The 15,815-nt window shown below is 38.8% G+C and overlaps 1 protein-coding gene across 12 annotated transcripts in view; it reads left to right on the top strand.

Moving 5' to 3' along the window:
- Positions 1-15,815, top strand: part of SAMD3 (sterile alpha motif domain containing 3) — a 223,117-nt gene that overhangs the window by 142,854 nt on the left and 64,448 nt on the right. For 6 of the 12 annotated variants that reach the window (XR_001743174.3, XM_017010305.2, XM_024446333.2 and 3 more), the window contains exons 1-4: positions 7,377-7,542; positions 7,721-7,820; positions 8,489-8,678; positions 13,407-13,520. Coding sequence is in view for 11 of the 12 variants with exons in the window: in XM_017010305.2 (XP_016865794.1) it covers positions 7,504-7,542; positions 7,721-7,820; positions 8,489-8,678; positions 13,407-13,520 (443 nt within the window). In the remaining variant the exon portion in view is untranslated. Of the gene's footprint in view, positions 1-63; positions 322-6,398; positions 6,445-7,127; positions 7,219-7,376; positions 7,543-7,720; positions 7,821-8,488; positions 8,679-13,406; positions 13,521-15,815 lie in introns of those variants that run through there. The other 6 variants (XM_024446335.2, NM_001258275.3, NM_001017373.4 and 3 more) reach the window with 5 other exon arrangements.

Below are 15,815 nucleotides of genomic sequence, written 5' to 3'. Positions count from 1 at the left end.
AGCTGTCTGAGATCCACCCTGTTTCAAACTTACCTTATGCTTCCTGTGTACTGTGAGGCTCCCAGTCTTGCTGTCTTTCAATGGGGCAGCCACTGCTCAGTTGCTGCCATTCAGAAATATGAACCCAGTATCACCAGAACTTTTGATTTTTCAAGAGAAACCAAGATTCCAGATTTGTAGGTGATATCTTCCATTTTTCAGATAAAACAAAGGAACCAGAACCACATCCACTGATCGGATTTGCCTGGGGAGGAGGGGTGCTCTCTCCTTTGATCTTCTCTTCTGGAAGAGATGGACCAAAAGCCTCTCCAGCAATAATCCGTAAATATCACTTTTTACCTTTTCTCTATAAAACTCTAACTTTTCTGATATTAAGATAAAATTCTTTCATTGAGAAAAATTTAAGAGTGGCAGATTACAAACAAAAAACATTAATTCCTCCAAACAGAGATTGCCACTTCTGCCTTCTAGTATATGCTTTCCCAGCCTTTGTGTAACCAAGCATTTCATTCTACTTTTATTTTATTCTTTCCACAAATCTGAATCATACTATTTTAAATTTATTTGCAGTTAACCATATCCATGACTGTTTCTCTCTACATAGTTATTTGTCTAGATACAATTTTTGATTACTACATAGTATTTTATTTTAAATATAAATTACTGTAATTCATTGGCCAATTCCTATTGCTGGAAATTTTATCTGTCCAATTTATTTGCTATTCGGACCATTGCTATGGCACACATCTTTGTGTTCATTTCTGTTAATGTCTTTAGGCACATTCTTAGAAATGCTATTTTGGGGTCAGAATGTAGAAATATTTTTAATGTTTTTGGCTTGCATTAGTACCCTTTAAAGTTGGATAGATTGGATTCAAATCACTTTTACCTTTACAAGCAAAGGAACCTTAGGCGAGTTACCCTGTAAACTCCAGGACTTTCAATTATAAAATGGGAATAATATGACAGGGCAAGTTGTGCCACTTTATACTCCCCTTAGCAGTGTGTAAGAGAACAACTGACCTTGCATTCTTGCTAATTTTCACCTTTTCCAATGGAATAAATGAAGATGGTATTTAATTATTTTTATTACAAATAATGTAGATTTTTCAGATACTGGTTTAAAATTTTGTTCAAGAGTTACCTATTCCTATTTTTTTCTATTGGTGTATTAATTTTTTAGTTGGTTTTATGGATTATAGAGTTGACCCTTGAACAACATGTGTTGGAACCTCTCAGGTCCACTTACATGCAGATTTTCTTCTGCCTCTGCCACCCCTGAGACAGCAAGACCAACTCTCCTCTTCCTCCTCCTCCTCCTCAGCCTACTCACTGCAAGACGACGAGTATGAAGATCTTTATGATGATCCACTTCCATGTAATAAATAGTAAATGTTTTCTCTTCCTTGTTATTTGCTTAATAACATTTTCTTTCCTCTAACTCATTTTATTGTAACAGTACTGTATATAATATATATAACATACAAAATATGTGTTAATTGTCTATGTTATCAGTTAAGATTCTGATCAATAGTAGGCTATTAGTAGTTAAGTTTGGGGGTAGTCAAAAGTTACTTGCAAATTTTCAACTGCATAGCAGAGTCAGCGTCCCAACCCCTGTGTCGTTCAAGGGTCCACTGTGATATATATGTGTACACATGCGTTTTTCCTTTTTAGTCAAATCTATCAATATTTTATTTTTATTATGTAATCTTAGATTATTTTAAACTCTTTTTAATTTTTCATATTTACATATTTAACTTATCTGAGGAATTTATTGTGTAGGTGTTATGAGGCATTATCCCAACAAAATATATTGACTAATCCCTTCTTTGTCACCAATTTTAAAGATCTTTTCACTGGCTGGGCGTGGTGGCTCATGCCTGTAATCCCAGCACTTTGGGAGGCCAAGGTGGGCAGATCACAAGGTCAGGAGATCGAGACCATCCTGGCTAACACAGTGAAACCCCGTCTCTACTAAAAACACAAAAAAATTAGCTGGGCGTGGTGGTGGGCACCCGTAGTCCCAGCTACTCGGGAGGTTGAGGCAGGAGAATGGCATGAACCCGGGAGGCGGAGCTTGCAGTGAGCCGAGATCGTGCCACTGCACTCCAGCCTGGGCAACAGAGCGAGACTGTCAAAAAAAAAAAAAGATATTTTCAGTACTTCCATATGAATGTTTCTGTTTCTAAGTTTCTATTCTGTTTCAATATCTGTTCTCTTTTCCTCCAGTACCATGCTGTTAATAGCATAACATTTTTTAACATCTGGAAGTGCAAGTCCTTTTGTCAAGCATTTTTCGTTCTTTTTACCTATTTATTCTTCCACATGAAAACTAGCCTCATAGTAAGTAAAACATATAACCACGTATGTATATTAATTGGAATTTATAAATTAATTCTGAGGGAAATGACATCTTCAAACTATCAAGACTTCTCAGTCACACATCCAGCTTTTCATAAAATTCAATAGCACAGTTCACAGTTACCATCTCTGGCAGGACTGTAATCTGTGTTGCTGAACCATAAGCTTTGGCTGTCAACGAGGCAGAAGCAGGGATAAACCATAAGTTTGACTCAAAGGCCAAAACACTAGGGTGTTTGTGACTCAAAAGTTCCAAAGTTCTGGGACTCTGGCTCATTGCTATTTTTGTTCATTAATTTAACTAAACCTCCCAGATAAGTGGCTCTTTAGTTTCTTTGAAAATGTAAAAATTGGCCAGGCTAGTGGCTCACACCTGTAATCCCAGCACTCTGGGGGGCCGAGGCAGGTGGATCACAAGCTCAGCAGTTCGAGACCAACCTGGCCAACATGGTGAAACCCCATTTCCACTAAATATACAAAAATTAGCCTGGCATGGTGGCACGCGTCTGTAATCCCAGCTACTCAGGAGGCTGAGGCAAAAGAATGGCTTGAATCCGGGAGGTGGAGGTTGCAATGAGCCGAGATAGTGCCACTGCACTCCAGTCTGGATGACAGAGCGAGACTCCATCTCAAAAAAATAGAAAAAGAAAAAAATGTAAACATATGAAATTTAAGTTACTATGACTGTGCTCACCACTTTTTCCTTCAAATTTATTGGAGGTGTTGTGAATTACAGACAACTCTGATAAGTCTTGCTAGATAAAAAGAACCAATGGAGACACTAATTTTTATAAAAGTAAGATTTTAATAACTTAAGCCATAGGAAATTACTGATCTTGAATTCTTGTATGTGCAAAAACGGCTGTTTCAGCACAATTCTCAATTGCAAAAATGTGGAACCAACCCCAAACCCCATCAATCAACAAGTGGATAAAGAAACTGTGGTATATATACGATAGAATACTACTCAACCATAAAAAGGAATGAATTAATGGCATTCGCAGTGACCTGGATGAGATTGGAGACTATTATTCTAAATGAAGTGACTCAGGAATGGAAAACCAAATATCATATGTTCTCATTCATAAGTGGGAGCTAAGCTATGAGGATGAAAAGGCATAGGAATGACACAATGGACTTTGAGGACTCGGGAAAAAGTGGGGAAAAGGGTGAGAGATAAAAGACTACAAATTGGGTGCAGTAATGTGTGCTCCAGTGATGTGTGCACCAAAATCTCACAAATCACCACTAAAGAACTTATGCAGGTAACCAAACACCACTTGTTCCCCAATAACCTATGAAAATAAAAATTAAAAAAAAATAAATCCCTGTAATTTAAAAAAAATGGCTGTTTCATATCGTTTAGCATAACGTATAGAGACAGCCCCTTTTGGTGTGTTTCACCTGTTTGCTGTCTGCTAGCTTTGTAGATGTCACTCCCTTTCAGACCGTGATGTATGAAAAAAATTAATAGTTTTGTTCCTTAAATGTTTAAAAGATTAATATAAATATCTATGTTTCCTAAAACGAAGGAAAACTGGTGCACATATGGATGTTTAGTAAAGGCTAAGCCCTTCCATCTCATACACAATTTGCTTCAAGAAAGAATGCTTTTCTGTCATTTATTTGACTCAGCTGCCTAAATAATCTTTCCAAAGCATGGAACATACTCTCAGTTCAATGACTCTCCCAAGCTTAAGCATATCTATAAACTCTTAACATTCTAAGCCTTTCTGCGATCTTCAGACCCTGTCTCCTGTGGTTGCCTACCATGTGGTTCCTATTCCAAGCAGCACGGTCCTCCCTGAGGTTCCAAAACATGACTCGTTTTTTTCTGGTTTTTTTTACTTTGAGTTCATTATATTGATCCTGCTTTCTCCAGCTTCTTTGCTATCTAAACTATGTCCATTATTTAGATTCCAAATCAAGATCCATTCGCTTCCAGGACACTGTGGGAAAATCCAGCCCCAGAGTGCTTTCTAAAGCATCCACCATGATTGGCTGTATATCATATTCTGCTTATCTATGTATCTTATCTTCTTAGTAAGGCTTCTAACTTCTTTAGTATATCATCATCCACCCCACTTTGGGCTATCTATCTAGGCAGTAAACGTCTTGGTGACTAACATCTGCAAATTATTTGAGTTGAATATTTCAGTTTTTATTTCATGTGGTCTGGTGATGGTTGGAAGAATATCATCAGGCCATAGTGGATGAGATGTTATGTTCCATTGGAACACCATGCTGCTATTGAGACACCTGAGTATAAACAGGTCCCCGGAGAGCCTCCGACAGCCTGCGCACTGAGAGAATGGGGTGGAGCCACGGAAGTTCACACGGTTTGCAGCGAGGAGGAACTGGCCCTTCTTATTCTGGTGTGGGAACTTGGAATTCAATCTGTGAGGCGAGAAGCATATACTAGCAGGACCCTCGCTCTGCTGAGAGCCACTGTTTCCCCTTTCTTTCCTTTTTGCCCAATAAATTCCATTCTTCTGACCCTTCAAAGTGTCTGTGAGCCTAATATTTCATGGCAGTGTGACAAGAACCCAGCTCTTAGCTGAACTAAAGAGAGAGTCCTACAACACTATCACCTCCCATGGTAGCGAGGCTGCTACCCAAGAGAATTGCCCAGACATTGTTTCATGTGACAGCCACATCCTTATTTTTGTACCTCAATTTTCCTTCTTTTTTACACGCCAGGCCTGGAACTGATTTGTGATAAATTGTTTGTCCCTTCAAGTTCAGCCACGGTAGGAGATACTTTTTCTCAGGGCAGAATGAGGTATTGATCCAGGAGTGGGCATATGCCGCCAGCAAAACTTTTAGGAATCTTTTGTTGTCTCAGCTTTTGGACTTCAGAGGAATAAAGCGAAAAATGCAAATAGAAAGAAAGATGACAAAAAGTTTTCATATTTTCTTAAAAAGTGCTCTTTTGTGGTCGAATGTTTTGTATGTTTTATATGATGTTTTATATGTTAGATTGTCCCTTGAAGATTATAAATCACGTTCACAGCAGGTGACCCTATTATCTTCCTTTGTAGTTTTAACAAATTTATTAAATAAAGCTTGCCCATATTTAGGCTGCTTTAGCTGAAGTCTTACCTCTTCTTGGCTTTAGTTAAATGAAGCCCTTTAATATTTAATACAAATTTATTTTCTTGATTTATAATTCAATCAAATAATGATAATGGTTTGTCAGGAGCATTCATACATAATGTATTATTAATTCTTCTTAAAAATGATACCACTATTCAACTATTTAGAGATAATGCTTGCCTTCACATTTTGAAATATTTTCGTATGTTTCTGAAGCTCAGAATAAAGCTACCAGATATATCTTTTCTCATTTGATATATAGTTTATGCCTTCATGGTGTAGAAGATCATAAATAATATATCCATTATTTATGTGAGAAGAAGTTGTAAAGTTACTACTCAAAGATGTTACGTTGTCTAGCCAGTGATATTGTTTTATTAACTCTCCAGAAAAGCTACTAGGCAAAAACTATATGCTTTTTTATTTTATTATGTTTGTATGATGTTATAATTTAACCTGTTTTGTTTTTCCCAGAAGTAGAATTGTGGTAAAAATCTGCAAATTTAAAAATACATGATCATTTCCAAGTACTCATTTTATTTTCAAATTTCCTTTTATCCATCGATGACTACAAGGCAGTATCTTCTGCTCTGCTTACCTTTTTATCTTCGAGTTTAGAGAATTCTTTTATTTTTTCTCTATTTTCTATTTTTTCCCTAAGTCCTAATCTTCGCAAGGAAGCCAGAAGTGTGATAGAAAGGTGTGATTTTTAATTTACACCAGAGTCTCGCAAATAATGACTTTTCACACCCTGCTATTGCTGCTTAGCCTAGGGGAGGGGTTCTGTGGCTACTGTTTGTCATAGCAAATTAAATCCACTGCTGAAATTCAGAAAGATGTTCTTCTATATTTAACCCTTGTTTTCAATTTTTCAAGTTGGTGTTTGTGAACACTTATGATTATGGGGCTTAATACTTTGAAGTCTACTTGTTTTCTAGGAAATGATTCTTGAAGACTATCTTTCCAGCTTGTCACATATGCAAGGTAAACATGTTTCCCCTTTTCCACTATTCTAACTATGATGTTGGTAATTGTAACTTCTTTAAATATACAAAAATGAGAAATACAACAATAGTTCCATTTAAAACTTCCATCAATAAAATTTAAATTCACGACTGATAACCATTTTAATCTTTCCTTATGATTCCATTTCTCCAAGAGTAGCTTTTTCCTTGGTCTTTACAGAATAGTCAGTATCTTAATTTGCAAGTAAATCTATATCATTTAGATTAAGATTTGAAATTGCCAAGTAAAGATAAAAGGTTAAAACGTTTTAAATTTATTTCAATCCCCCCCTCCACCCCACCCCTCTCCAAGTCCATCAGAGGTCCTTTGGATTGAATTACAAAAACAAGGAATAAGCTTCCTTAGGGAAATAGTTTTAAGTTTTCTAAGTGGTTGCAGACAAGTGGCATACAAAAATAACTGAAATAGTTAAAGAATATATCTTGCAAACTTGCCTACGCTTCTTTCACGATAATTATTAACATAAATAATTACTTTCCAATTTTGAATCTGCCCAATTAAGTAAAAAGTTTTCAGTCAGTGTGGTAGTTTATCCTAGTTATCTTACCAATCATAACAGTGTCCAAAAAAGTTCTAGAACTCAGAGGGGTATGTAAGAATAGTATTGGAAGGAAGGACAGAAACATTCAGATTCTCCAGAGAAATGTGGGTCCTACTTCCTCTTCTTGCTAACGGAAAACAATGAGAAGCAGCAAGTTACAATCTCCTTCTCCTAGCCAGGAGAAGCAAGGGGTTAACCAGTCTACTAAGGGGTTAACCAGTTTACTAAGTATCTCTGTCAGGCTTTTATCTGATCCTTCCTCCCTTCCTCTCCTGCCCACCCCTTCTGTAAATGTCAACCACTTCCTGAGGAGCCTGGTAGTGGTGAATTTCACACCTTTCTTTTCTTTGTGAAGAAACCTGGGTGTTAATGGTACAGGATTGGGTACCATTGTATGTCCCTGGCTGTCTGTTAGTAAAGCTTAGAGATGCCTGTGGAAAAAAAGTAGGAGAAGGTGAAGAAATTTGAGAAATGGGATGCTAGGAAATAGGTTTAAATCAGGTCTTATTTTTAAAGTGAGTGTGTGTTTTGTTAGCAATTTTTAAATGTACATTGTAAAAATAGTAATTTTAAAAAAGCTTAACATTGAGAAGATAAAGGAGTCTAGCAAAGGAAGCGGCTGACTGTTAAAAAAAAAATTAAGGCACAATCAGAAAGAAAAGCTGGAGAATTCTCTGACCTTTTGCTCTACAGGTGTATTTACAGGAGACAGCAATGGAAACCTGGTCAGTTGAGCAGGTCTGCAGTTGGTTGGTGGAGAAAAATTTAGGAGAGCTAGTTCATAGATTTCAAGGTGAGTTGTTTATGCTTTCCAAAAATTTTAATTGAGCAGCCTAGATATTCTGGTGTCCTCTGTTACTGAAAATTACTTTTGTTGCCAAATGTCTGTGTGCATGTCAATGTGGATGTGGGGTTGCTGCAGTAGAGAACTTTTCATTTCTTTATGGACTGTAGCAGAGTTTCCACTTGAAAGTAACATCCACAAGAGAATATAATATTTTAAGAACTCAAATAAAAAAGTCTTACGGGTCACTTAAAATACATATTTGATATATGCATTTAATATTGCTTTTGTTCTTAAGTAATACAGTATGTATTTTGTGTAGTGTTGGGTTTATAAAGTTGAATACTGGCTAGGAGCTATTACGAAGAATAATTTCCTAAGTTTTTTTTCCTTATAAAAACAATACCAGTTAGAGAGAATTAGAATGAGAAGGGTGTTAATGTAGAAATAATAAGTTTTTATTGTGATTCCATGTTCTGGTACTTTCTTAGGAGCAGGCATTGATTTGGAATTATGCAACATTGGAGTTTTATCTTTGTCAAAAATATGGATAAATTTATAATGTCAGGGGACAAGTTTAGATGATCCTTTTATCACTAGAGGTAATTTTGCCTCTTCAGAATGCCTGTGTTTTGCCGGAAAGTCATGTAGAAACTAATTTTTTTTCTTTTTCCCAGAGGAAGAAGTAAGTGGGGCCGCTCTTCTTGCACTTAATGATCGGATGGTTCAGCAACTGGTAAAGAAAATTGGGCACCAGGCTGTTCTGATGGATTTAATTAAAAAATACAAGCAGAACACTCAAGGACTGAAGTCCCCAGAAAACCCCAAAAAGGCAGCCCTGGTCATGCAAACAGAAGCAGCTCGAGAGTGAGTATGTTCATAAATGGCCTTATTTTTTTTTCCCAAGCTTTCCCAATGATGGCTAGAGCGTGACGTTTGGGTTTAAAGCCCTTGGAAAACTGTGACCGTTTTCAGCTAGATTGTATGTACGGTATTTCTAATATTTGAGCAAAGGACACTGTAAAATTTTAAGAATCAAGAAACGTTTTTATTCACCATTTTTTAAACATGGATTCCAATCATTAGGGATGTCCTATTAGCAAGGAGTTTCTATATAAAATGCTGTGGAACAAGCAGGTGAAATAGGTATGTAACACAAGGAGAAAGGGGATCCTGAAGCTCTGGTTTTAAAATCAGGGTTTGGGAAAGGCATCTTGATTGCTTCTTTGCTTTTCCCAAAACTATTTATTTATTAATCTATTTATTTATTTTCCTAGGATTTCTTAGAGTAATGAATTTATAGTCTTCTCTAGATGCCTTTACGATGTAATTTGCTAAACACGTTATTGTCACATGAGTATTCTAATTTTTTAAGAGTGTCCTTATAGTAATGAACACTATGAAACACCCCAAAAAATTATGTAGAAACATTAGTGGTGGCAGATAAAAGCTCTGAAGTTTGGGGACGGTTTTATTTGTTTGTTTTTTAATCACTGACTTCTGCAATGAAAAGAAATGATAACAGGATTTATAAGATTAAAAATTTCATTTTACACATCCATCTATGCCCTGGGATCATTTCAGCCATTCTGATTTGATTTTTCCATTTTCAAGATTTTTTTGAAGGGTTTCTAAGATTAAATAAATTTTAATGATTTTGATGATTGATAAAATCTATGTTTTTACGTTAATTTTTTGAGATTAGAGTGGTAATAATAGAGATTTCTCTTTCTCCTTGATAAATAATATAATGGTAGGGACCTGACATAAGCAAGTTTATTCCTAGAATATTTGAATATTTGGGACATGGAGGGGAATAGGTAGCCTTGAAGGGATGGTATAGAGCTGGAATGGAAATTCTACTAATTGATTTTTTTTAAAAAAAAAAAAGCTTTTTGTTTTTTTTAGAGATGGGTCTCAGTCTGACCCCCAGGCTGGAGTGCTGTGGCAGGATCATAGCTCACGGCAGCTTCGAATTCCTGGGCTCAAGCAATCCTCCTGCTTCCGCCTCCCAAGCAGTTGGGATTACAGGCACTCAACACCATGACTGGCTAATTTATTTTTATGTTTATTTTTATTTTTTAAACAAATGGTGGTTTCACTGTGTTGCCCAGGCTGGTCTCCAACTCCTGGCCTCAAGCCATCCTCCCACCTCAGCCTCCTAAAGCGCTGGGATTACAGGCAAGAGCTGCTTTGCCCGGCCCCTAACCAATTTATTTGAAGGATTTCTAAACATTGTTTTGGCATATCTATGTAAAAAAGGACGCTCTTGAACATGTAACTTTTGATGAAGTTCCCATTGCAAGCTTTTACTCCTTCCCAGCAAAGGAAGGGTAGGAACCTGAAAGAGAGATCAAAGTAATTTCCTTGCATTTTGGGATGAGTAGGACATTTGAGCTGGAAGTTCCCTTCCATTGAGTGGAATCTTGAAATTGCCTTAGGCACAGCTTAGAAGAAAACAGGCAGTCTTGTTTCCACTGCAAATCAGTTTATAATGTTCTCAAGTAAAAGAGAACTAGCTGGACTGCCAGGAAACCTGGGCTTCCTTCCTGGTTCTACTACTGACTTGGATTGATTATATTAAATGTTGGCATTCTTGTTTCTTCATCCGTACGTTGTGAAAAGTAATATGGTACTTACCTCCTCTTTAATTCACACTGATGTTAGGAGTATCACAGTCTTTGAGCAAATCTGTCCTTTTTCTCCTAGACTGAAATAGTCCTGTGTTAAGTATGAAACTTTGTTAACTGGGTTAACTAGTTTCAAACATGGCCAAGACTGGGACCACTCTTTGTCTGGGGATTTATGAGTGGGGACTTTGCACTGTACCCATAAGCAGCTGACTCACCTTAGGGATTTGTTTATCTTGTATTTAGATTAAATTATTCTGGTGCAGAATTACAATTGCATGTGAGAAGAGAATACTTATTGCTTTATATTTGATTAAAATTCTTGTTGGTTGTATTTGCTTATTGTCAAATATATTTATTATATGTTGTCACTTGACAATCATCAAGTGAGAATGATAGTAGAAAGAGGCATGAGAATATGCTGTTTAATTAAACCCCCTTAGAGAGTGTTTAAAAAAGATAGGAAACTTGGTGTACAGAAGAACCCTGAAGCTAGCTATCAAGACATCTGATTTTAACCCCCTCTTATGATATTAGCCCCTCAACTAGCCTTGGAGATTTGTCTGACCCCTTTTAGTTTTAGCTTCTTCAACTGTAAAATGAAGTAGGTAGAATAAGTGATACTTTAGGTCCGTTCTAAAGAGTCTGTGATGGCATTCTAGATCTGAGACAGCAGATAGGTTTCCATTTGAGTACAGATTCCCTTTAATGGCTAGTGATTGCCTGTGTGAACCCAAAAGTCTCTGAGACAGGTCTCAATCAATTTAGAAAGTTTATTTTGCCAAGGTTAAGGACCCGTCCATGACACAGCTTCAGGAGGTCCTGATGACATGTGCCCAATGTAGTCAGGTACAGCTTGCTTTTATACATTTTACGGAGACATAAGACATCAATCAGCGTAAGATTTACATTGGTTTGAACTGGAAGGGCAGGACAACTCAAAGCTGGGGCTTCCAGGTCACAGGTAGATTTTAAATTTTTCTGATTGGCAGCTCGGCGTGGTGGGTTATGCCTGTAATGCCAGCACTTTGGGAGGCCAAGGCGGGCAGATCACTTGAGGTCAGGAGTTTGAGACCAGCCTGACCAACATGGTGAAACCCCATCTCTACTAAAAATACAAAAATTAGCCAGACCTGGTGGCGGGTGCCTGTAATCCCAGCTACTCAGGAGGCTGAGGCAGGAGAATTGCTTGAACCTGGGAGGCAGAGGTTGCAGTGAGCCAAGATCATACCACTGCACTCCAGCCTAGGTGACAGAGTGAGACTCTGTCTCAGAAAAAAAAAAAAAAAAAAAAAAATTCTGATTGGCAATTGATTGAAAGAATTATTATCAATAGAAAGGAATGTCTGGGTTATGATAAGGGGTTGTGGCGACTAAGGTTTTCTCATGCAGATGAAGCCTCCAGGTAGCAGGCTTCAGAGAGAATAGATCATAAATGTTTCTCTTTTTTGTTTGAGATGGAGTCTGGCTTTGTCACCCAGGCTGGAATACAGTGGTGCTGTCTCGGCTCACTGCAACCTCTGCCTCCCAGGTTCAAGCAATTCTCCTGCCTCAGCCTCCTGAGTAGCTGGGACTATAGGCACATGCCACCATGCCCAGCTAATTTTTTGTATTTTTAGTAGAGACAGGGTTTCATCATATTAGCCAGGATGGTCTTAATCTCCTGACCGCGTGATCCACCTGCCTCAGCCTCCCAAAGTGCTGGGATTACAGGTGTGAGCTACCATGCCTTGCCCATAAATGTTTCTTATTAGACTTAAGGTCTGTGTTGATGTTAATGCTGGTCACCTTTTCCTCAATTCTAAAAGGGAGGAGGGTATAATGAGGCATGTTCAACCTTCCCTTCCCATCATGGCCTGAATTAGTTTTTCAGGTTAATTTTGGAATGCCTTTAGCTGAGAGGAGGGGTCCATTCAAATGGTTGGGGGCCTTAGAATTTTATTTTTGGTTTATACCTGACCTTTTTTTTTTTTTTTGATGGAGTTTCTCTCTTGTCGCCCAGGCTGGAGTGCAATGGCATGATTTCAGCTCACTGCAACCTCTGCCTCCCAGGTTCAAGTGATTCTCCTGCCTCAGTCTCCCAAGTAGCTGAGATTACAGGCACCTGCCACCATGTCCAGCTAATTTTTGTGTTTTCAGTAAAGACAGGGTTTTGTCATGTTGGCCAGGCTGGCCTCAAACTCCTGACCTCAGGTGATCCACCTGCCTCAGCCTCCCAAAATGCTGGGATTACAGATGTTGAGCCACCACACCTGGCCTGGCATGTTATTTTGAAAAGGATGTGTAGGCAACATCTGGGCAGGATATTTAGCATCCTGTTGATACCTCAGCAAATGATGGGGATATGAAATAGTTAGGCATATTTGCAGTTGCTTTTTGTTGTTGTTCTTGTTGAAACTGGTAGAAAATCATTGGTCAGGAAGGTGCAAAACTGAGTTCAAATCCTGGCACTGCTACTGAGTAGCTCACCAGGAGTTGCTCTGCCTTCTAGGCTTCAGTTGCATTACTTGGAAAATAAGGGAGCTAGCAGAGTATGTTTCTAAGATCCTGAGGTTTCACAGATAATAAAATGTCTCCCAAAATGGCAGAGAGCAGAGTAGGGATCTGGCAGAGTTTACTATTTAATTTTGCCAAACAAGAATATTAGCTAAAAAAGATACATTCTACGATCACCATCATTTCATAAAGGAAGGTATTGTCTTAATGCCATTTAAAAATAGGATAGACTGGTGAAAACAGCATTATGAACAGGCATCAGTCTGCCTCCTGGCACATAGGAACCACTGAATTAGATGACGCCAGAGGGGCCTTCTTTCCATTCTCTTAGTCATGAGTCTAACGTGGAACTGGGAAGTGGACACAGACCATGATGTTTACTCTGGGCTGGTGCTACCTTCAGAGCTGCTGTGAGATCAATGGTCATATCACCTCTTGAATAGTGCCTGACCCACCTCTTCTTTCTTAGTTACAGGGATGAAGAGTCCTCCAGTCCAGCCAGGCATGGGGAGCAGATGCCATCTTTCTATCCAGCTGAAAACCTTGATAATGGACTAATTGACCAAAGAGTATTGAAACAGAGGTGGGGGTACCAACTTTAAGACAGTTTAAAGCCAAATAACATTCTTCTCTATTTCTTTTTGATAAGGTTTCATATGTTTAGATGTATTTCTAATTTGAAACTTTTTGTTTTCCTGGAAGGGAATATATTTTTATCCAGCGATAAAGATACTTGGTAAAAGATGAAGATTAAATTTTCTGGTTTTTGTATTGGAAAAGTGAAGTTTTAGAATGATAGTATACATCTTTCAAGTATACATTTTTAAGAAAAAAGAGGATTTCTCTGTCATAAAATCTTCAAGGTGATTGGCAGCAGTCACAAAGATGGAATTTATTCAATGAATAATGTTCTATAGAATATCCCTTGGTGGAGTTTTTGTTTTGAATTTTGTAGTTGTTGCTTTAACTTGACTCTCCCGATAGAGGCAGGTAAGCATTTGCTTTATATTCCAGTTATTTTGGTAAACATTTTCTCTATGTTCCTACACTGGGTTTTACGTAATGTATATTTCAATATATGGATTACAACTAAACAAAGGAAAAACTGTAGACTTAGAGAACCACATGTAGGATTTGGTGCTGAGATGGTCATAGGTAAGATATGATACGGAGGTCACGGCATCCCCTAGAATAGCGGTTCCCAACCTTTTTGACACCATGGACTGATTTCATGGAAGACAATTTTTCCAAGGACAGGGGTCAGGGGGATGGATTTAGGATGAGTCAAGCACATTCCATTTATTGCACACTTTATTTCTATTATTATATTCTAATATATAATAAAATAATTATACAACTCACCATAATGTAGAATCAGTGAGGGCCCTGAGCTTATTTTTCTGCAACTAGACAGTCCCATCTGGGGGTGATGGAAGACAGTGACAGATCATCAGGCATTAGATTCTCATAAGGAGTGCTCAACCTAGATCCTTCACATGCACAGTTCACAGTAGGGTTTGTGCTCCTATGAGAATCTAATGCTGCCACTGATCTCTCAGGAGGCGGAGCTCAGGTGGTAATGCCAGTGATGGGGTGTGGCTATAAATACAGATGAAACCTTGCTCGCTCACCCGCTGCTCACCTCCTGCTGTGTGGCTTGTTTCCTAACAGGCCATGAACCAGTCTGTGTCCTGAGGGTTAAGAACCCCTGTCCTACAGCATTTCACGGCCGTCCCACCCAGGCAATCCGTGCATCCATAACTCATATTACATATTGTCTCCAGTCACTAACAAGCAAATGCAATGCCTTAAACGTAGTTCATTGAAAAGAGAGACTGTCACCTTGCACACAAAGAATAATCGGGTAATAGCCAAGCAAGGATGTGGTCCTTCAGTTTTCACAACCCCTTTACACTATCAGCTCATTTTGCCCACAGAGCAGTACTGCAAGGTGGGCATTATTCTCTCCTTTTTGTAAATGAGTACAACCGAGATTTAGAGCAGTCAAAGGATTTCTAGCTATTTTTTCCAAGTGGACTGTTGTTGCCTCAGCACAGGACCTAGCCACCCTCAGCGTGAGAGCTCAGGGGACTGAGGGCAACAGCCTTGGATTCAGGCCTGCAAGGCCCCAGCAGCCCTATGAGTGCAGAGAAGAGCAGCCCCTTTGATGAGGAGCTCCTGCAAATGGGCTTTGGCTCTGGGCTCTCCTCTCCGCTCTTTTTCCCTCTCTTCAACCTTGGACCTCACCTCTAGCCCCACAGCCTCAGTGCCTCAAGATCTCCCAGTGTTAGGGCCCACTGACTCTTGTTTGGGGTGGCAACCAAGAAGGTGGAAGGCTATGTCGTAGGTGCAAAATCCATTGCCTTGGTCTTCCTGGATTGAACTATGATTCAGAAAGTGGAAATTCATTTGTAAGGTGGCTTCTTTCCCCTCCTTCCCACTCATGGGTGCTGGTTGATTCCTAGAGCTTTCCCGTGATTGGCTCCAGGTGCATGTAGTAAGCCATGAGCTCTCAACTACCCCTTCCAACACGAAGCTGCTAAATGCAGCCAGTCCACATGTCTATAACTGTGGAAGTGTGGGTAGAGTTGGGGTGAACAGTGATTAGCCCCAGTGCTACCTACCCTAGTAGCACTCTGTCTCTGTATCCTCATCTGCAAAATGGAAATAATAATGATACTTTCTCATGGTGTTGTTTTGAGCATTAAGAATAGATAATGCTTGCCAAGTTCCAAGCAGAGTGGAAGCACACAGAGGGCACTCGGTGTACAGCCATTTCTCCAGCCCTGCTCCTGGAGGTATTCCTACTTTCCTTAGGGTGTCTTTTCTCTGCCTACTTGACACAGCAGATGAGGATGCAACCTTCTATACCTGTAGG

Source organism: Homo sapiens, chromosome 6, assembly GCF_000001405.40.
Source record: "Homo sapiens chromosome 6, GRCh38.p14 Primary Assembly".
NCBI classification, from domain to species: Eukaryota; Metazoa; Chordata; class Mammalia; order Primates; family Hominidae; genus Homo; species Homo sapiens.
The sequence above is the reverse complement of the archived record's forward strand: the minus strand, read 5'-3'. Positions and strand labels throughout refer to the sequence as shown.